Below are 23170 nucleotides of genomic sequence, written 5' to 3'. Positions count from 1 at the left end.
AAACCATTCAACATGGTCTAAAATGACAAAAATTTCCCTACTAGTCAATTCTTTTCAATTTGCAGAGAAAAATTCTTTTGAAAGCCTCTGCCTCTTTAATTCCTCTGGTGGCTTCCATTTTAAATTTAAATAGGATACTTATTTTTATGTTTTTGATTTACGAATTACAGAAAATAGCAGTTGATTCCACGAAATAAAAACTAAACATTTAGCATACTTACACTACCATTCAACTTTCTCCCTCTTAAACTTCTAATTTTAGTTTGTTTCGTTACCTTTACATTATTGCGATTTTCAACATTTACAATCTGTTATGTAGCAATAATTAAGCTTGCCATTCTTGTCTAACATTAAAAATTTAAACCCTCTAAAATGTAGCTATAAAGTTGTGATTATGGCTGCCCCAGAGAAAGACACGCCAATCCCTTAACCCTGCAGCTTAAAGTAGATTTTCCCAAAGCAGCGATTTTTAAAAACTTTCTCTCAGCTTGTATAACTTCTACGATTTCATCTCTGCTATCATATCCTATTTATACCTCATATTGCGTACTTTTCTGTTTGAGAATTTATTCAAGTAACTTTTTTTTCATAAGGAATATGACGGGAATAGAATTTCTGAGTTCATGTCTGAAAACGTCTAGGTATAGAATTTTTGATCCAAAATAAATCCGCTTCCAAACGAGGAAGAAGACATTACCTCGTTTACGTCTACTAATTGGGATTGATGCTAAGAATTGATTTTAGTTCCCTTGTAAGATAGCCGATTTACTCTTTCTGGAACTCTTTTTTTTGAGTCAGAGTCTCGCACAATCTTGGCTCACTGCAACCTCTACCTTCCAGGTTCAAGCGATTCTCCTGCCTCAGCCTTCCAAGTAGTTGGGATTACAGGTCTGTGCCACTACACCTGGCTACTTTTTCTTTTGTATGTTTAGTAGAGACAGGGTTTCACCACCTTGGCCAGCCTGGTCTGAAACTCCTGTGATCCACCTGTCTCGACCTCCCAAGCGTTGAGATTGCAGGCGTGAGCCACAGTGTCTGGCCTGGAACTCTTTTCTTTCTGGAACGCTTTAAGATTTTTTTTTTTTCTGTATTCTAGGTGTTCTGAGATTCCACCAAGATATATTTAGGTGTGGGTCCTTTTGCCCACTCATTCTGATCAATTCTAGTGGGTTATATCAACCCCGAGACTCATATGAAATGGTTTTCTATTCTTTCCTGTCCTCTAATATCTCTCATTTTTATAATAATTTTGAAGCTCCATTAGAAGGCTGTTGATTATTCTAAGTCAATTCACCATTTCACCTACTTTGCTTTCATATTTTTAATGTCTTTTTTTATTATAAGCTATAAAGGTTTGCTCTACTTTTTCTTCCAGAGGACCAGCTTAGTTTGTGTCCATCAGTTTATTTAATTCTGTACTACAGTATCACAATTTTAATTGTTAAGCATTGTTTCTTATTCTCTGACTACTCCTGTTCATAGCAGCCTATTCTTTTTTTTTTTTTTTTTTTTTTTTTTTTTTGGAGACGGAGTCTCGCTCTGTCGCCCAGGCCGGACTGCGGACTGCAGTGGCGCAATCTCGGCTCACGGCAAGCTCCGCTTCCCGGGTTCACGCCATTCTAGCAGCCTATTCTTATTTTATGGATGTATCATTCTCTGCAGTCCCAATGAACTTACAATAACAATTTTTTTTAAAGCTCTCTGCTGTACTCTGCATTATCTGAGCTCAATTCCTTTGTTCATCTCGCTCTTTGACACATAGATTGTTTTCCTCAAATATCTTGTGATTTTTGGTTTTGGTTAATTTTTGGAAAAGAAATATTTCACATTTTTTTAAATTATTATAATTCTGTTTCTTTGGTAAAGCTGGGTAGAGAGAAGAGGAATGCAGTATAAGAGAAAAACACCTCAGTTTCTCTTCAGCATGTGTTAATTAATATTCATCAAACTTTTCTTCAAAAGAATCTCGGAATTTTTTTTCTTTTTTTAATGAACCTGACATTGTGAACATAAAATCTGGGAATCTGTATTCTACCCATGGAAGTGTGAAGGAATAAAGAGAAAGGAACAGAATGTCTCCAAAGTAGCAAATTTGATCACTTTCAGATTTTATTATCTATTATAATCAAAAGTTCCTAATATTTGTATAGAAACCTATCTTACTGGCAATTGTTGATTGATAATTAAAAGTGCATATTTAGCCTTAGAATTAGCCTACCTTTTCCTCCTTCAGTATCTTCCCTCAAACTCTACTTAGATTTGTTGTCATTTTCAAAAACTAGTTCTTATTGACCCATTGGAAATTACTCGAATGCTAGAAGTCCTTTGCTCTCAGAGGGTCAGTTAAGAATAGAAGGAGAAGTCACAGGCACTGGCTCGCTTACCTGCTGGGTGGTGCTGGTGACAATACCCTGCTGCAGGCGGTAGGCCTGCTCTTGAAGGTATTTTCTAGTCTCGTGATTTCGTAGCAGGTAGTTTTCTATCTGGAAATAAAGCACAGGCATCCCTCAAGAATACATTTCAACCCAGCGGAGAATAAAGTATAAGTGAAACAGTCAGTTGCCGAACTTAAAAACCGAAGCGTGAATATACACATCCTGCCAGTGCTTTGACCCCACAAAACACATGGGATGGAGAAACTGGCTTTCATTGTGAGTACTGGTGTTTTTAGTTAGAGATTCAACTTGCAGGTAATTGGAGTAATTTTTGTGTAACTCAGTAGTTGAAAAAGATAAGCAAGCTTTTAATTGCCTGAAGGGTTAGAGACCCCACTTCGTGAGTTTTCATCACTTTCAGCACACAATCTCAATCCTTCTCTCACATGAATTTTTAACTACTCCACAGTTCAGAAGTTAAATAAATATCCCCAAGGAATAAGGGTGGTGCTCTCTAAATCTCTTATAGCCTTATTCCAGCTGTAGAATGTATCAGCACTTAGAAAATGCTTTATTTTTACGTAAAAAGAGAGAGAAAGAATCGCAACAAGATTTGAAGGATACAGGCTGGTACAACTCAAAGATATATACTAATTTCATTAACCCATCAAATGTTCATATTTTCTCAAAAACAGGACTGAATTATTAAAATTATAGCAAATAAAAAATAGATTTCTGTATTTTTATACATAGATTATCTACTATGAAAAATTCAAAGGTATAAATGATAACTAGATTAAAATAAGCATTCAAGAAGAATATGCAATAAATACATATTTAACATAAATGCAAGGTTAACTATTAAGAATGATGGATACCTATAAAGATGTTATTAAAGGAATAATCTGAGGTTGGTAAATTTTGTCATCTATTTTTAAAAATTTGTTGGTTTTGTTTGTTTTTAATAACATCACTTAACCATTTGGCTTTTAATTTGCCACAGCAGTTCCCTGGTTAAGAACTAACTAATAACTCTGAAGCGCTAAGTATTTTTACATTTTAATTTTCATTTTCCATATGCTAAAATGACTATTACTTAATATCAATTAGAAACTATTAAAATACAGACTATAATTACGATCCCTTGAAAATATAAAGCAGAACAAAATGTACCTTTCCATTAAACATAAATGAAGAAATTACAAAAACGAAAAGATACCTGAAATGAAACATCATTAAAGTGGCACATTAATGCCTTGACAGTATATTACATTACTTTCTCTTGCTGCTTCCCAAGAAGTCATCTCTTTCCAAGGTGACATGACTATCAATGCAAAATATTTTGCTGAAAAGATTCTTGCTTGAAATATATGACAGGCACACACCACCACCCAGCTTCCGGTCCTTTTGCTTTATTAATTCTTATACATTTGGCCTCACTGCAGCACTGGCTGTGGCTGGGTCCAAGAGAAGTTTGCTTTCTCAGAAGGCTCATCTCACACACAGGCAGTGCATCCAAGGCTGGCTCATGCCTTCCAGACATTTCCCCAGATGCACCAGTGGTGCTTCCAGTTCAAAAGGAAGAAATAGTAACAATTTTCAAGTGACTTTAATACCAGGCCTGTATACACCACCACCAAAATTATTTGCATCTTAGATTAATAGAGCAAACTTTGCTTGCATGTACCATTTCAGACTAAGGACAAAAAAACCCACTTCCTGAAGGACCAAAGGTGTCATTGTCAGGTTTACTGGGCTCCCCTGGACAGCTGAGAGCAAGCTGGGAGATAACCTAGAGCTAGTCAGACATCTCTGGTCTCACTGCTGAAAACAGCACCAGCGAAAGAAGCAAAAACGAAACACAAAAAATCTGTATTTTAGTAAAGGAATCTTGTGTGTGTGTTTTTAAGATTGAGTATTGAATCACAGTATTTTTTTCTTCAGTAGAGTAAAAGTAAATAGTCATATTTTTTCCAGAAGACAAAAATCCACCTGTTAAAATAAAAACTTGAATATGTAAGAACACAGCAATTTTACAAAAAAACCCAATAGGCTGGGTGTGGTGGCTCATGCTTCAATCCCAACACTTTGGGAGGCTGAGGCAGGAGGATCACTTGAGCCCAGGAGTTTGAGACCAGCATGGGCAACATAGCAAGACCTCATCCCTACAAAAAATTAAAAAATTAGCCAGGCATTATGGCTCACTCCTGTAGTTCTAGCTACTCGGGAGGCTGAAGTGGGAGGATCACTTGAGCTCAGGAATTTGAGGCTATAGTGAACCATGACTGCACCACTGTACTCTGGCCTGGATGACAGAGTGAGACCTTGTCTCAGAAGAAAAAAAAAAAGAACAGAAGAGAAGGAGAGGAGAGGAAAAGGAGATGAGAGGCGAAGGAGGAGAGAAGAACAGGAGAATGAGAGGGAAGGAAAGGGGAGGGGAGAGAAAAGAAACCAATAAATATAAGCTTTAAAGTCACCTATTTTTTTATTAACAAAGCACAAATTTTACAGTTAACATATCTGCATATTTTGTCCTGAATGTCCATTTTCTTTTTTTTTTGAGACGGAGTCTTGTGCTGTCGCCCAGGCTGGAGGGCAGTGGCGCAATCTCGGCTCACTGCAAGCTCCACCCCCCGGGTTCACGCCATTCTCCCGCCTCAGCCTCCCGAGTAGCTGGGACTACAGGTGCCCACCACCACGCCTGGCTTATTTATTTATTTATTTATTTATTTATTTATTTATTTATTTATTTGTATTTTTAGTAGAGACAGGGTTTCACCATTCACAGGATGGTCTTGATCTCCTGACCTTGTGATCCGCCCGCCTCGGCCTCCCAAAGTGCTGGGATTACAGGCATTAACCACCACGCCCGGCCCTGAATGTCCATTTTCTATACCTATTTTCAATTTTCTGACCTGTCAATTATGTCTTAATATAGTAGGATTCATATCTACCATGTTTGTAACTGTTTTCTATCTATTACATTTGTCCTTTGTTTCTTTTATCTTTCTTTTTTGCTACTGTCTCTGGTTTTAATTAAGCATTTTGTATGGTTACATTTCTCTTCTTTCCTAGTTCATCAATTATACTCCTTTTAAAAAAGTTTTTAGTGTTTGTCTTAGTGTTTGCAGTATGCATTTATAAATAATCCAAGTCTACTTTCAAATAACGCTATATTGATTCATGAGTAGTGTAGGTAACTTATAACAGAATATTGTCAATTCCTTTTCCATCCTTTATACCACATTCACCCAGTACATTGTGGTTATCATTATTCTGAAAAAATAGTCATCTATTACATCATTCATAATAAGAAAAATATAATGCTACCTTATTTTATTCCCTCTGATACTCTTCCTTTCTTTATGCAGATCCAATTTGTAATCTATATCATTTTCCTTCTCCCTGAAGAACTTTTTAACATTTCTTGCAAGACAGATCTACTAGTGATATATTATTCCCTCAGTTTTTGTTTATCCTAGAAAGTCTTTATTTCTCCATTACTTTTGAAGGATAATTTTCCTAGATATAGAATTCTAGGCTGCTGGGGGTTTTTTGCATCAACACTTTAAATAGTTCACTCCACTCTCTTCTTACTTACATGGTTTCTGACAAAAAGAGTGACGTAATTCTTATCCTCGTTTCTCAATACACAGGTGTTTTTTTAGTCTATGTTCTCTAAAGATTTTCTCTTTGTCGTTGGTTATCCACATTTTGAATTTGCTATGCCTATGGGTGCTTTTTTGGTATTTATCCTGCTTGGTGGTCTCTGAGCTTTCTGGATTTGTGGTTTAGTGTCTGTTGTGAATTTCAGAAAATTATCAGCCATTATTACTTCAGATGTTTCTTCTGTTCCTTTCTCTCTTTTCTTTCCTTCTGGTATTCCCATTAGTAGCAAGTTTCATCTTCTGTAATTATCCCACAGTGCTGGGATAGTCTGTTCTTTTCTTTTCTTTTTTTCTTTGTGCAATTCAGTTTGGGAAGTTTCTATTGAAGAATCTTAGAGTTCAATGATTCTTCCCTCAGCCATGTCCAGTCTACCAATAACCTCATCAAAGGCATTCTTCATTTCTGTTACAGGTTTCTTATCTCTAGTATTTCCTTTTAATTTTTTTTTCTTAAGAGCTTTTATCTCCTGCTTACATTACCCATCTGTTCTTGCATGTTGTCTGCTTTTTCCACTAGAGCCCTTAACAACTTAATCATGGTTATTTTAAGGGCTCTGATAATTCCAAAACTGGTATCATAGATAAGTCTCGTTCTGATGCTTGTTTTCTCTCTTTCACACTGTGTTTGTTGCTTTTTAACATGCTTTGTAATTTTTGGCTGAAAGCTGAAAATGACATACCTGGTAATACAACCTGAGGTAATCAGCCTTTTAGTGTGAGGTTTTATATGTTAACTGGCTAAGAGCTGGGCTCTGTTTAGTATTTGTTGTAGCTGTATATGCCAGAGGCTTTGATTTCCTCTAGTGTCCTTGCTTTTGTATCCCATTATTTTGGGGTTTCCCTAGAAACTCTTTCTTAATTACAATCTGTGTCTTGCAGTTTGCTCAGTTGTAATCCACTGTTATTTTACTTGACATGGTGATAAGGTGTTAGGAAGGGGAAGTATTCTATAATCTTATGATTAGTTTTTGTTTGTTTGTTTTTAAGCAATCCTGGTCCCTGGGCTATGGCCTTTGGAAATATTTCTTATCCTTTTCAACCCTATCCCTTATGTGAGACAGGTTAGAGAGGGCGGGTTGTTTAATCATCTTTCCCCTGTTCAGGTAAGGTCCTACTAAAGTAGTTTCTCTGGCTGGTAGATCTTTGTTATTTAGAAGAGAATGCTCTGAGTATATTTCAAAATGGTTATTTTACCCTTCCCCCTGCCAGAAAAAAAAAGGAAATTTTTCTCCAATCTTTACTGCGATAGCCCATTGGGACTCATGGAAATAAAACCCATGAAAGGGTGGGGGTTCCCTAAAACTGGACCCCTAGGAGTTTTTGGCTCTTAAGCTAGTCTGTGCTAAGTCTCTGGCAATTCATCACTTACTGTTTAAGTGGTCCTGTAAGTTATTATCCTACTAGCTTCAGCTCCTGGCAAGCTGATCTTGGCTATGATTCACTGTGATTCTCTGTACCTCTCTTTCCAGTCCCCAGTTTTCAGGGTGATAGTTTTCCTTGTGGCTTAAGTTCTTTGACAGATCTAAGAAAAGTCATTGGTTTTCTGTTTGTTCAGATTTTTTTGTTGTTGTGAGGATGGGAGTGATAACTTCCAAGCTCTTGAGAGTTCAAATCTGAAACCAGAAACCTGGTTTCTCTAGAATATGTCTTTTATTCAAAACTGATTAGTATCCTATTGGAAATTATAAAGATATCTAATATTTTTATGTAGCTTTTCACAAACTCCTTTTCACATATACTGTTTCACTGGATCCTCATGGTCACCTTAGGCAAATTAATCTTCCTACTCTTTGTTTTCCATATCTGTAATACTAGAACCTACTGCATCATTTATTTTAAGGATTACATGTATTAATTTATGTAAAACATTTAAAATAGTGCCAGACACCCAGTAAGAATTACATATTGTCAGCTAAACATAGTTATTACATAGCTTTATTTTTCCTACCTATACAGTTGAAAAAAATAAATTTCAAAAAAATTGAGTAACTTATTGAAGGTTATGGGACGAGTTTAATTTTAAGTCAGATATTCTAAATTCAAATCTTGATTTCTTTTGCCATACCACAGCTTTTTTCTCTCTCATCTCCAATCATATTGTCTTCTATTCAACATATGCCTAAAAAGCATTCAAGCGACCAGGCATGGTGGCTCACACCTATAATCCCAATACTTTGGGAGGCCAAGGCAGGAGGATTACTTGAGTGCAGGAGTTTGAGACCAGCTTGGGCAACATAGTGAAACCTCGTCTCTATAAAAATTTTTAAAAATTAGCTGGGCACAGTGGCATACGCTTGTAGTCCTGGTTGAGATGGGAGGATCACTTGAGCACAGGTGGTTGAGGCTGCAGTGAGCCATGACTGCACCACTGCACTCCAGCTTGGGCAACAGAGCCAGACCCTGTCAACCAATCAATCAATCAATGAAGTATCCAGTCATACATACTAGGCACTGTGCTGTGAGAATAAGCAAGATGAAAAAATACATAAGCTCTGCCATCAAGTAACTCATAGACCATTAGGAGAATAAAACATGGAGCCAGGTAACTTAAATCAATGTTGCAAGGCCAATGACAGAGAGGAGCACAGGAAATCCTAAGACCACACACCTAGAGAAGGAAAGGGCCTCTGAGAGGTCTTCCTGGATGAGCCGACACTTGATTTCAATCTCAACAGACCTGCATGGTAGTCAGGAAAGAAAAAGGATGTCTGGAATACAGTAGGGATTCTCAAACTTACAAACACCAGGAAAGCTTGTGAAAACACAAATGCTAAGTCCTACCCCAGTTTCTGAGGCTTAATAATTTGCATTTTTAACGAGTTCCTTGAGACAGGTCAAAACAAAAGAGTTGGCCAGAGATGAAGTGGGAAGTGTACAGGAGGCAGATCCTGGACAGAATTTCCTGCTATGTTAAGGAGACCCAGCTTTATTTATCCTGAAAGCCACTAGGAAGGGATAGAGTAAAGATTTTAGTCTGCTCAGATTTACCATGAAATAGGATGGCTATTTTTTATTGCAATATGTAAAACTGACAAGAGGAGGCAAATGTGACAACAATTCTGGTAAGAAATGATGAGACTTGAAGGAAGGTATCCATAATGGGAACAGAGGGAAGGAAAGCTAATGAAGAGATTTATGCTACACAATGGTAGAGTTACTGATTGATTAGCTAAGGAAGAAATGATAGAGGAAAGTCAACTTTGGAACACTAGATGGAAGGTGGTAACACTGTGATCTGAGCAACTCCTTCATCAACTAAGATGGACCCTAAGGTTAAGGAAACAAAGTTACCTATGGGGTAAGGGTTCAGGGCCAGCTGGCAAGGCAAATTTCTAAATCCCTACAGCTCTAAACTCCCTAACAACAGGAGCTATCAGATCCCTTTTACTGTGATTTACAACCCAGACCACTACGACTCTGACTGGACAGAGGGCCAGCCTTACATTCTTTTTTTTTTTTTTTTTTGAGATGGAATCTCGCTCTGTCGGCCAGGCTGGAGTGCAGTGGCATGGATCTCAGCTCACTGCAAGCTCCGTCTCCCGGGTTCACGCCATTCTCCTGCCTCAGCCTTCCGAGTAGCTGGGACTACAGGCGCCCGCCACCTAGTCAGGCTAATTTTTTGTATTTTCAGTAGAGACGGGGTTTCACCGTGTTAGCCAGGATGGTCTCGATCTCCTGACCTCATGATCCGCCTGCCTCAGCCTCCCAAAGTGTTGGGATTACAGGCGTGAGCCATCGCGCCCATCCACATTCTTTATTGATAAGTAACTGCAGACCTTAAACCAGTTTCAGCCAGGGTACAGAGGCTGCTCACAAACTGTCTTTGTGTACTATAGTTCTAACATAAAGAACCAAAATCACCCTCATTTTAATGCTAAAACCTCACCCCAAAGTGAATATGAGATGTATGTTACATGTTTACCCACTGCACATGCACTCTGCTCCCCTCATAAACATGTATAGCTTCCCCCCAAGCCTGCTGAATATGTACAACTCGGCTGTACGATGCAGGCCTTGTGAAGCATAAAACCCAACCTGCCCTTCCCTTCTTTGAAGAGAGGAGCACATTCAGCACACACCAGAGACTGTCTCTTCCCAGTTTGCAAACCAGTAACATTAACGAAGCTTTCCTTTCTAAAATTTAGCCATCTTGGTGGTCTTTTGGATGACATCGCCAAGGAGAAAGAACAAAGGAGGTTGGAAAAGTTCAAAGATTCCTCAAATAATACCACAGTGTGAGTGGAGTAGGCATCTTCAGATGGGAAATATTTGAGCACATCTAAAATGCAGAGAAAGGTGGCCATAAAAAGAGAAGGATGAAGATATGGAAGAGCAAGGGAATGATTCAGAGGTTTCCAGCACAGGGCAGAATAAGGGGGTCAAATGCACCAGGGAATGGCTGGGCTTTGAAGTGGAAGGTACCTCTGAGTTTGCCAGTACAGAGGCAGGAATAGGTGTAGATTTACATACATTTATAGATGAGGATGGTAAAGTGAGAGCTCAGGAATACTCTAAATTTCTTGATGAAAAAAGAAGAGAGGGATCCATCTGTTGAGGATGAAGAGGAGGGAAGCTGTGCAAACTGATACTCAGTTCCACACATTTCTCCCCCAGCCAATCAAGAAGTTAACTATACTTAAGCTCTGGCATGTTGATGCTGTAAGAATGTTTTTTTATTCCACTTAAATTGTATGGCAAGCTTTAGTGTTCCTTAGTTTACTCCTCCCCCAGTCATGCATTACCCCAGTTGTGGTCATAAGAACATAAGACAATGTGAAAAAATAAAATAAAATTTAAAAAAACTTCGTAAAATAACAAAGTATTGTTTATAAGTTCAGGAACATAACCACAATTCAAATGTGAATTTCTTGTAATTAAGCTACTGATTCTTTAATACCTTTTGCAGAGCGTCTTCTGTTTTTTCAGGGTTTGTTTTTAGGGCTTGAGAAGCATCATACATAGGAATTGGCATAAATCTTAATGTGTAGTTCCTAGAAAAAGGAGAAAATAATATACTTATTTAAAAATAACTTCCTATTACCTTAATTCAGCACTCTTCTTTTAAAAATCCAAAAGGATAGCTGCAAGAGTAGCTTAGAAAATTCCAAACCACCAGACCATTTAGGCCCCTAGATTGCAGATTATCCTTTGTAATAACCACATGTGCAAATACCACAGGCAACCACATCAACTCACACTACCTACAAAACTGACACAACTTTGAGGAATGCAGTTTTGTTGTTTTGTTTTTAATTTTGGATTCCATCAAGGACAGAATTTTCACACTGGGATTGAAAAGATGAACTGAGGGAAAGCCTAGGGAAAGTCCAGCATCAACTTGCTACATGGGTTTTAGTAACCAATAGATCTGACTCTACCTGGGTCCCCACAGTGATTATGTGTGACAACCAGCCCCAAACTGGTAAAGGAAAAAAACAGAAATAAAAACAAAACATTTGCTTGCAAAGCAAGCCATTAGCATCCACAAAATAGTCTATTAAGTTTCTGGGCTCCATTAAATGAAGATGTCCAGTATACATGGGATTATCTCTTTTAAAGCTGCTGGGAAAGGGTCTGCTGCCTGGCTAAACACTCTGACCTCTGCAGGTCCTTTCAGCTTGAGTTCAAGAGCTAATGTCCACCAGGCTCGAGAAACCAAATGAAGCAACTGTTGATTGCTGTATATTATCCCATTGCTACTGGCAGGCCTATTAAACACAAACATGCAGGAGTGAGCCATTTTTGTGTGAGGAAAACACACAGAACTCTGAAGCTGGTCCCTGGCCTTTGATCCTGACCCTGCTGCAAACTGCTATGTGCTCAGATGACCATTAACACCTGCTCACCTACCACAAATGCCAGTATTAGAGATGACTTCTGTCCTCCACCCCAAAATGCATCTGTCCATTTCTACAACACGGTGCTCAGGAAGAGCTCAATTTCACCTCGGGCTACTTGGTGGCAACTGGGACATTAAAATTGCACAGTAGCTGCCTTGTTTTAGGACTCTAAACTATCAGCAGCACTCACGTGTGCTTCTCAGCCATATTTAGACGACATCTATTAAAAGAATAAATCAGCAACTAACTCCCAAAATAAGGTACTAATAAAGAATAAATAATAAAGAAAACCATCAAGTTAATAGTAGCAGTCTAGATGGGCTAATGGAAAAAAATATTCACCCAGTCCAACTTATAGAGTAGCTTCATGTAAAATAATCAGACAAAGAGAAAGCTGTAATTTCTATTGCTTTAATTTTTATCTTAGCTTTGTTTTAGCAAAATTGTTTTTGTTTGCCTTCAGAAAATCCAGCCAAATGAAACTAAGAGACGATATGTCTTTTTTACGGCCTTGACAATTTTTCTTTCCCTCATCCAATTTCTATCATGTTACAGACCAGCATAGTTTATTTAAACCAAATGTGATTTTGAAGCATTGGCATCTTGGAGCAGAGCATATATAATCGACTGTGATCAAGGGAGTCCAACAGTCAATCTGGAAATGCTGAGTATTGGTTGTGCATGCTCCTGGCTTCTTCCAAACACCAGCCTGCACTGGCAGTCTACAACAACATCAGGGTGGCAACTGTGCTGTTAGCATCCAGATGCAGCTCAGTGTAAATAAATGTCTCCATTTGGGGTTTTGTGGTGCAATAGGAGTAACCATAGGTGGGTCTGTAATCATGCAGTGGCAATGCAAAACTGATAGTCTAAGCTGCCTTACCCCTATTTAGTGATGCCCTGGGGTCAGCACAGAGAAGGGGCTGAGAGATGAGTCTCTGTGATTTTGTAATGGTAGTAACTTTGAACTCCTGGCTGAAGTAGAGCCACAGGATTTAGAAATGGAAGGGGCTTAGAGATCATTTATCCTAATCCTCTCATTTCATGAAAAAAGATTTAATCAGAGAGGTAAAATGCCTTGATCAAGATCACAGGCTTGTGGGTGACAGAACTGAAGACTGAATGAAGGACTCCTCATTCCCAGTCTAGGGTTGTACCACAACACCATGTCAGGCATGAGAGGCCCTCCTGGGAGGCCTCACATATACAAGGAATCTGGAAAAACACAAAATAATGAGCATTTCCTCCCCTTTCCCAGGGAAACGGCTTCTATGCCATCCGCCCCTTATTTTTCACCCATATTTTATAGCCTCTCATTTTTAATGCTATAAATCTGCTTTGTTCACTTCTGCCTTTATAATACAATATGAGGATCGAAAAGCCCAGAAAGAACCACATTCCTAGTATTACTTTCAACTATGTCTACTATTATTTTCTCATTTAGTTTACTGGGAAAGTAAATTCAACAATAAATAATAATTGCAGGCTTTAGTTACTGAAGTAATGAAGAAAGTCTTTCATAGTAATGAGACAACTTAGCCCTGGGCTTACCATTTATCAATTTCACCTTTATTTTCTGGACCTCAGCTTTCTTCTCACCAGTGAATTCAAAGGTGTCACAATAGGAAAAAGAACAAGACCTAGTGTAGATTGTGAAATCTACACAATTTCCACAAAGGGGAAAGGAAACAAGGCAAGTCTCACACAGCCCCTTTCCCGCGATCTCATTTAATTCTCACGACAGTGTGGTGTTTTTGGCAGAACAGGCATCTGTGCCCTCATTTCATACATAAGGAAACTCCCACCAGGAGAAATTCAATGTCTTCCAAGATCCCATAGCTGGTTAGCTGTAGACTAAATTCAGACCCAGATCTTCTGATCCCCAATAAACAGTTGATTCTATTACCCAACAGGTAACATATATACCATTGGTTTTTGTTTTTTTATTTTCCTAGAAAGAAATCCTAATTCAAACTTACTTTTCCATAGCAACAGCTATATCCTGAAAGCCTTGTGCAGTGATGTTGTTCTTGTCCCATATTACAGTCCTGTTTGAAAATCAAATCACATAAATGATCAGACACTTAAAGAAAATGATTCTCACATTGAATATAAACCTCTTATAGACAGCAGTGTGTAGATATTTCAGTACAGCTGCATTATGTGAGCAAGGAATAATGTTCATCTTCATTTCTAACAAAACAAGGATAAGCATTTCCCCCAATATTATATTCGTAACACATTTACCACGCAAGTAGTATGGAAAAACTGTACTTAAAGCAATAGCACATATGTTCACTTACTATTATGTTATCTAACTTTCACTAGACAGAAAACTCTAAATTCTGATATTTCTCTGATATTCTCCCAATCATATTCTTATATTTATGTCTGAGGTGGAAGCTATTTACAAAAGATGCTAACCAGTTCCATGCCCAATATAAAGAATTTCAGCTACTGAGATTGTTCCCCCCAAACAGTAAAACACTAGTGTTTCTAAAACACTAGAGAGAATCTGTCATAGTTCCTTGTGTTTTCATTATTTCCCTGACATGGCTTAATTAGTAATCCTAGGAACTTCCTCACTCTGCTGGCAAAACATCAGTTACTATAAACAGGAGTTTGTTTGCTTTTTAAACACAAAATCTATTTGGGGAGAAAAATATTACTTTACCTTCAGAATGTGTATACTTCAGGGGTATTTAGGATTTGTCAGTTCACCCTGACACATAAAATAGCTTTTATTTGTCTGGATGATCCCGGCCTCACAACTTTCACTGCCTTCCCTTCCTAATCTCGATGACCTTCTTTACACACATACTGACCTTCAAAGAAATTGCTGCAGATTTTGGGTTTTGGCTTCAGCTTAGACTTTTATGCCGGAGAATAGAAAAACATCATGAAAGAGCCCTTGAGGAGCAATGTGAATTAACTCTTCATTCACCAGACTGCTGACCTAGGTAGCAACACCAATCTCTCTGAATGATGGATGGCAACAAGGTGACAGTGGAGCTAGTCCTTGAGAAAAGCCACACTTAGGAAACATGGAATAAAACTGCTAAAGAGAACAGCTAGCACCCAGTGTGAGCCTGGTTTTGGGTTTTGAACCAGCAGACCTTTTGTACCCCTTGTTTTTAAGTCTTTATATCGGCAGGCATGAGCAAGGGGGTTAAGACCTTGGGCTCACAGAGAAGTATGGGCTCTGCTCACTTAGTGTTGCCTACAAAACCCTCCTAGCTTCTCACTGCCTTTACCCCCACATTGGTCAGCTATCAACACTGATGCGAAATAGGAAATTGTGGCAGTTCTCAGTCAGGTTCTACCTTACAACAGAACTATAAGACAACAGACCGAAGGAATCACTACTTCTAAATTTGGGAACAGCCTCCTCATTATTCTGACAGAAATCTTGACATTGTCACCTCTTCTCCTCAAGATGGCCTCATGGGAAGCCCAGGTCCCCTCGGGCCCAGCAGCTCTGCAATGCTTGCTGTTCGGAATCTGCTCCAAGCCTTCCTCATGAGCAGGGAGGGTGGGATCTGCCTACCTGAGCTTAGTGTTGATCTGCAGTGCTTTGGCCAGCATCTTCGCTCCCATGTCCCCCATTCCGTTGCCGCTAATGTCCACTTTGGTCAGGGAGGTGTTGCTTCCCAGGGCATTGATGATGATGGTGACCTCAGTCTTGAGTTTCGAGTCAGCCAGGGACAAGGACTGCAGAGGCTGCGGAGCAAATGACACACGGCACTCAGCAGTCTCATCAAAGCAGCACCCACTCTCCACGACGCATTTCGTGGAGAATGAGAGGGGATGGACCTACTGCACGTGTCTGATTTTAGAACTACTACCTAAAAGACACTCGTGGATAGAAACTTAAGGTTCTGGCACAAAATGGACCGCTGGAGTCAAAGATGGAGAACTTGTGTTTTAATGCTGAATACCTACCACTTCTCTTTTAAGGGAAGCCAGGGAAAGACATGCAGGCTGACAACTGCCAGCGTGAAGCAGAGGATAGGATGAAATAAATAAAAACATAACAAAAATTTCTCAGCTTAATATGATCACCCTTTATACCCATTTTATTTTTATACAAGGTGAAATGACACCTTAAAATACTAATAGAGGACAAATACAAGATAAAAGCCAGCCAGGATTAATAATAGCTGACAATTATTGAACAATTACTATGTTTAACCACCATTTAAGCTTTTTATGTATATTAATTCACTTAATCTTCCCACTAACCCATTGCTTAGATGCTACTGTTATCCCCATTTCCCAAACCAACAAACAGAAAAGTTAGGTGACTCAACCAAGGTTACATTGTTAGAAAGCACCTGAACTAGGATTCAAACCCAGATGTACTGGTTCCAGATTTCATGCTCCTAACCCTATACCACATCTCCCTATTAGCTTATCTCAGATCTTTTTGATCATCACCCTTTAATTTTATCTTTTTTTTTTTTTTGAGACAGGGTCTCGCTCTGTGCAGAATGCACAGGCTGGAGTGCAGTGGTGCAATCACCACTCACTGCAGCCTTGACCTCTTGGGCTCAAGCCATCCTCCCACCTCAGCCTCCTGAGTAGCTGGAACTACAGGTGCGTACCACCACATTCGGCTCATTTTAAAATATTTTTTGTAGAGACAGGGTCTCACTATGTTGCCAAGGCTGGTCTTGAACTCCCAGGCTCAAGTGATCCTCTCACCTTGGTATCCTAAAGTGCTGGAATTACAGGCATGAGCCACCACACTCAGCCTTAACTTTATCTGTTAAGTTTCAATCAGAAGATACATCTACAATTCTTTTTTTAAGTCACACTTGTGTGGCTTTTTTTTTTTTTTTTTTGAGACAAGGTCTCGCTCTGTCCCCCCAAGCTGGAGTGCTGCAGTGGCATAATCTCAGCTTACTGCAACCTCCGCCTCCCAGATTCAAGTGATTCTCCTGCCTCAGCCTACCGAGTAGCTGGGATTACAGGCGCCCACCACCATGCCTGGCTAATTTTTGTATTTTTAGTAGAGACAGGGTTTCACCATGTTGGCCAGGCTGGTCTCAAACTCCTGACTTCAAGTGATCCACCAGCCTCAGTCTCCCAAAGTGCTAGGATTACAGGCGTGAACCACCGCACCAGGCCTTGTGTGACGTTTTTATTTGACCATAAGCTGTATGGTGAATCCAAACCAGTCCACTCATTTTCCATCCATTTAAACCAGATATTGAAAGCCACGCAGCCTAAAGGCAGGTTTTGTTTGTCTTGCATGGTATCTGACCAAAATAATAATAGTAACAATAAATTAATAGAGCTTCCTACTTACACCCAGCTCACTTTACTAGTTTATGTTGCCTTCCTAGCCCTGTGGGCATTTGAGTTTGCATTCCTTGATTTAAGCCATAACTTATTAAAGTGGGGTTAAGAATTCCAGGTTAACCAGGTTGAACCAATGTAGCTCTAAATGTCAGAATTCAGACTTCCCTGGGAGATGTGGATGTCTCCTGGGTTGCTTGGGGTCCTCTATATTGTCCTAGCCACACTAAACAAATTATATGGTTATTGCAGAAGCAGTCCCAACACTACAGGAAGTAGTGATAGAAGCAGCTTCTGGGGTAATCTATGACCAAGTTCCACAATGCTTGGGGGATTGGAGCTCTCAAGGTGTGCCTGGGTGGTCTACACGACAGCCCCCACACACAGCCTGGGGTTTGTCTGTGTCTACTCAAACACTTAACATTGACTTCCAAAGCAACATCTGTGAGAGGTTCATCTACCAAAGGGCTACAGGAGACAGAATGAGGGTGTTGATGGTTTCAAGACTCAGATATCAACAAAGCATCATTATGCATTTGGTTGGTACCAAGAGACAACAAGCATATTATTGTCCTTATCATCCAAATATACCATGGCTTTCAAAGTTAATACATTTATGGTAAAATCAAAAGGTAATGTTGTATTAATCAGAATCAAATTAATAAAAGTTAAATGGCCTGGTAAGTGCTAAGGCAATTAAAACCTGGGCCAAAAAGTCTGAATACATTTAGACTCAAGTGGGTTTAGCTTGGTTTCTTCAATTTTCTTAACATCCTACATACAGGTAAGTGGAAATGACAACTAAAAACACTTCAGGCTCAGGAAACTTACTGTTTTAAAGAAAAACAAACACAGTATGCTTTAATAAAAAGATGTAATTACATCTTTCATTATTTCAATAATCTTGATTCAATTACTACGAAAATGATATATTATAGCTTCTTCCTAATACTGGAAAACTGCCAACTCTCCGAGCTGTCAAGCATCAATTCCAGGACTATATTCAAATTCTAATACACCCCAGTTAATACTTAAAAATAATAGGCAGAGTCATTAATGCAAACAGACCAGCCTGAATTGCGTGCATATTTATAAGGTCATCCCTTCTTGATTTATTGTACTTCTGTGTAACATTACTATTTGAAATCTTACTATTTCTTTTTCATAGCTGAACATGCTTAATCTGAGAATCTGTCTCCTGGCTTCAGGCACCCCCAGGAGAATCACATTCTGTTCTACTGGTTACAATATGGGTTCATATGTAATACTTCAGAACAAAACTCCCTGTCATCTTGGCCCTCTATGTTACTGTCCCATGACTCTGGGTGCAGCAGACTGAAAACCACTGTCTATAGTTGAAGGTGACACTGGAACCCACCAGCATGTAGGTTTTTCAATTGAACATAATGTATAATACTGGGTGAATAAGGTATTCCATAGGCTGGTCAAAGAACAAGCTCTACAAACACCAGGTCAGAATGTAAAAAGTAAAGAGATTATTTTTTAACATGTAAAACTTGTAAATAAATAAAACAAAAAATGATCCCAATTGTACCAGGTATTGGTAAAAATTTTTATCATCACAAGACTCATCTCCTAATCATTTCAAATTATTTTCCATATTACCAATTTGAAAGTAGAAAAAAAACAGAAGAATTGCTTTCTGAAAAAGCCATCTACTTTTCAATGGCAGGAACATAAAAAGCTTTTCATTGTACAGCATTATGAGTGCCACTCTATTCAAACTTGTGACTTGACAGAATTCACATTTATATAGCAAACTTTATCATCTGCAGATATGGTTTTAGGTATATTTTAACTATCATCTTTAAGTAACAGACTTCCAGAATTATAGATACAGTTTGAAGAACCTCACATAATGAGCAAAACATAAAATTTATGTACTTTTCATAAAAATACAAATTTTCCTAAAGTATGTGTTAAGAAAAAAACATCTTGGGGTGAATTTTAAGTATAATTATGTAATATTAGCTTCCCTAATCTGTTAAAACTGGGCCAATACTGGAAAATCAGAAACTCAAACAAGGCAGAGTGATGCAAAGTCAAATTAAATACGTAAAGCAAACAGCATAAACTCTGAGAAGTCTAAATTACATTCTAATTATACCCCTAATTTCAATAACCCAGCATAAGAGCAACAAAATATGGGGTTTATTAGCAAATGAGGGTAAGGAGAAGTGCTGAATTCATTAAACAATAATGAGATTCATTTTCTAGCCCACAGATTGAAAATTACATCCACAATGAAGAGGAAAGAGAACAGAATTTTCTCCTGCCCACCAGCTCAGAGCCCTGTCAAAGAAGTGGGGGCAACGGCAAGTGAGGAAGTGTCCAGTGTCTATCCTTCCTGGCCTCTTAGCTTTCACAGAAAAGTCAGCTTAAAGCTGTGATAGAATTTGCTCTTCCCTGGTATGAATTCAGGAGGGAAAATGATACTTTTTCCAAATGTGACATACTCCACATGATTAATATAAAAATCATCCTCATGACCTACAAAAGTAGCTATTACAAAACATGAGTAATGTGACTCTTCATAGTAGGAATACAAATTCATCTGAGTTTTAGGAACTGGAAAAGCTGAGTCTGGTGACCAAATAGGACTTTGAGAGGAAACGGACAAAATCTTAGAGAGCATCAGTAAAATATAAGGTGTAACACACCAGCTCTAAATCAAATGGATTCATGGTAGACTGCTTCTTATTTTGTCCATAAAATAACTTTTCTTTCTCCTAATCCATTTTCAAGGACAGCAAAATAAGATACTATTTGAAATTAAACTTCTTTACCCTGAACTAAATTTTGGTCAGGAGCAACGAAAGGGGATTAAAAATACAGAGTGCTACTAGACTTCAAGAAGCAATTAAAGATGGAAGAAAACTTCCTTGGTCCCCTATAATTCCACATAATTATTAGATGAAATTCAAATTAGCAATATGATATTTCTCAGCATTATATAAGGTCATAAAGTCAACTAGAATGTAAAAATTCATGCCTGAAGATTAGTTTATTAGCTAAAGTTAGGGAGTAGTAAGGCTAATTAAAAGATAGGCTCAGGAGTCAATTTATACTTCTTTTTATCTATTAGTGACAATCTTCCTTTAATTGACAGTGAGTTGAATAAAGTAAAAAAAGTTTTTAAATACATTCTACAACTCTACTAAAGTGTATTTATTCCATTTTTAAAAAGTAATGGAAAATGTACACGTTGATAAAACTATCTGAAAGTATTTCAGCATTAATCCAGTAGAAATAATCAGTAAGAATGGCAACAAACAGAAGATTTTAGTAAAAAGTTTAACATAATACTCACTGATTCTTCATCTTGAATCATCTGTACTAAGTTGTCCAATACAGGTGTCAGATTTCTAAAGAGATTTTAGAGATGTGGACAGTGGAATCAAATCAAAAGCTTTCAGGAGGCTGGTTATTTTCATCATTGTCATATAAAAAAATTCAAAACTCTTACTTGGATTTCATATTATTAAAATTTTTGCCTAACGCCAGGTGTTGTATTGATCTGTTTTTACTGAGCCACACTATTAAGGTAGATAGGTCAGATTCTAAACCTGGAAAGAATCAGAGTAAGTAGAACATCAAAACACATGTGTATAAATTAATTTTCAGCTGGAACACAATTAAGCAAAGGTGACATATAGTTGGATGACTTCCTTTACCTTCCTGAGGGGCCTGGGATTCTAATCTTTTATTTTCAAAGGCACTCTTTGCTCTCTTTTCATGTCCTATTATTTCACAGGGATAAACTCATTCTCTACAAAGACTTATCTAAATCTCTTATACAATCAGTGGCTAAACCAAGTCAGCAGGAAATGGGAATGAATAATGGCAGAAAGTTTCATCTCTCCCCACCACTCTGTGAGAGAAGATTCCAACAAACTGTTCACTGTGAGGTAAGTGGAGTTAAAGTTGTCTATGCAAATTTCACAGGTTCATACTAACATGATACTACAATCAGCAGAAATGAAGCTAATGAAATAAGCTTTTGAATAAATAAACAAGAGTACAATTTTATTATCAGCAAGAATGCAAAAAGTTGGTCTCAGACCCTTTTCAATGTACTGGTGATATTTTTATAACTGAGTTGTTTTACTGCATAGACTTTGCATAGTTGGCCACAGAGTCAACTTAGTAAGACTCTGGCACAGATCTATTCTACAAATATACCCCATTGTTAAATTTAAAAGCCCTATTAGTCAAAAAATAAAAAACAATTTTTTTATTAAGCTATTGTTTGGATTTGGGTAGAAGATTATTTTCCCCTTATTAACTTGCTTCAAAAAATATTTCAGTTTCATTTCTTTTCAATATCTGACTTACCATTGTCAGAGATGTCTAAGCTGGTGATGTTGTGTATTTCAGCAATGCAACCTTCTAATACTTGAGCACCTCCTGATCTCAGCTAGAGAAACACAAACCAAACACAAAGTAAAGTCTTCACTCTACTGGAGATGTAATCAAAAAATTAAAAATAGGAGAGACAGTCAGTCTTAAAATAAACTTAGTACCAAAGAAAAAGTAAAAGCTTATCAACTCCAAAGAAGCTATTATCAGTGGGTAAAGAGCCTATCACTAGCCATTGCTGCTGTTTCCTATGCCATGTGATCCCACATTAAATCCTAAAAACATTAGAAAAAAACAAAAGAGAAACAAGATGACCACCACCCACGCCACTATAGTAGCAAAGCAGTGCATTATCAACCCAGAAGAATTTCTTCATTTCTGACTTTTGGAAATTTAATAAATTCATTTTATACATGAGAAAGTTACTGTTTTATTTGACTGTTACCGATTCCAAGGTGTAAACTCTCCACCCAACCAAAGGAGACAATGAAGACTTACTTTGATTGTCAAACATTTTAGGAAGGACCCATCCCTACCTGTTCTAAGACATGAGTGTGAGTTCTCACTCATAAGGCAGATATTAGCTAACTAAAGATGACTGCAAAATGATTTGTACAAATGCTTCGAGCCATGGATGGAAAAATGTTAAATTAATATAAAATATTATTATCATGATTGTTTTAGAGCAAAACTAAGTGCAAATGATTATTCTCACCTCATTTGCAATTTTATTTAAAAGAGAAAGACAACCTGAAAAACCCAATACAGTACTTTTCATCTTTTTCTATGAAACCAAAGCATACTTTATAGCAGTCATAATATCTCTGTGTTTTTCATTCAGCAAATATTTGTTGAGTTCCTACTCTGTGTAAGGCATTGTGAAGGATGCAAAGTTTCCTAAGCTGTGGCCCTTTTGCTCTGTAAACTTACTATCTAATGAGGAAAAACAAACTATCATTTTTTGGAAACCTACTATAAACCAAGGAACATGGCAAGTCCTTTACTCATGTAGGAAAATTAAAATTTATAAAAAGTTTAACAACAAATTTACAGTACAAGGTGCTATTTTCCACATGTCTAGGTTTTGATGTAAGAATTAGAAGAATCCTCATTTCCCTATTTTGGATGCGATATCAGGAGAATTTCAGTTGGGATATTTACATTCAGCCATTCCTACTTTTTTGAGACAGCGTCTCACTGTGTTGCTCAGGCTTGTCTTGAACTCCTGGGTTCAAACGATCCTCCCACCTCAGCCTCCCAAGTATCTGGAATTACAGGCATGTGCCACCGCATCTCACCATTTCTACTTTTTAAGGTGACAGATTGCTCTAAGGTGAGCTCTGAAGTAGAGTATTACACAGAGGCAGACCTCTCCAAGGGACTGGTCTACATACTTCAGGGAAACCAAAACCAACTTCACAGCTGAAGGGCTTCTAACCTGTGTGTGAAGCTATTGTCAAGACTGACTGCCAGGCCCATTTCACTACACCTGCTTGTTTTCTCAGGCGCTCTCCAGCTTACCTAAATGCCCCATCGAGCCTATCTCATCATGACACCTGTACATCTTCCCCAGCACCTTGCTACTCAAAATTTGAGATGAATAAGT

At 38.1% G+C, this 23170-nt stretch overlaps 1 protein-coding gene across 20 annotated transcripts in view; it reads right to left on the bottom strand.

The window, feature by feature from the left end:
• CARMIL1 (capping protein regulator and myosin 1 linker 1) overlaps positions 1-23170 on the bottom strand; it is a 341157-nt gene that overhangs the window by 89253 nt on the left and 228734 nt on the right. For all 20 annotated transcript variants that reach the window (XM_017011008.2, XM_017011009.2, XM_017011015.2 and 17 more), the window contains 7 exons: positions 21541-21622; positions 20672-20771; positions 20516-20570; positions 15431-15603; positions 13863-13931; positions 10941-11034; positions 2385-2483 (listed from right to left, as the gene is read on the bottom strand). In XM_017011008.2, the coding sequence (XP_016866497.1) occupies positions 2385-2483; positions 10941-11034; positions 13863-13931; positions 15431-15603; positions 20516-20570; positions 20672-20771; positions 21541-21622 (672 nt within the window). The remainder of the gene's footprint in view (positions 1-2384; positions 2484-10940; positions 11035-13862; positions 13932-15430; positions 15604-20515; positions 20571-20671; positions 20772-21540; positions 21623-23170) is intronic.

The sequence above is a fragment of the Homo sapiens genome, chromosome 6 (assembly GCF_000001405.40).
Source record: "Homo sapiens chromosome 6, GRCh38.p14 Primary Assembly".
Classification (NCBI taxonomy): Eukaryota; Metazoa; Chordata; class Mammalia; order Primates; family Hominidae; genus Homo; species Homo sapiens.
The sequence above is the reverse complement of the archived record's forward strand: the minus strand, read 5'-3'. Positions and strand labels throughout refer to the sequence as shown.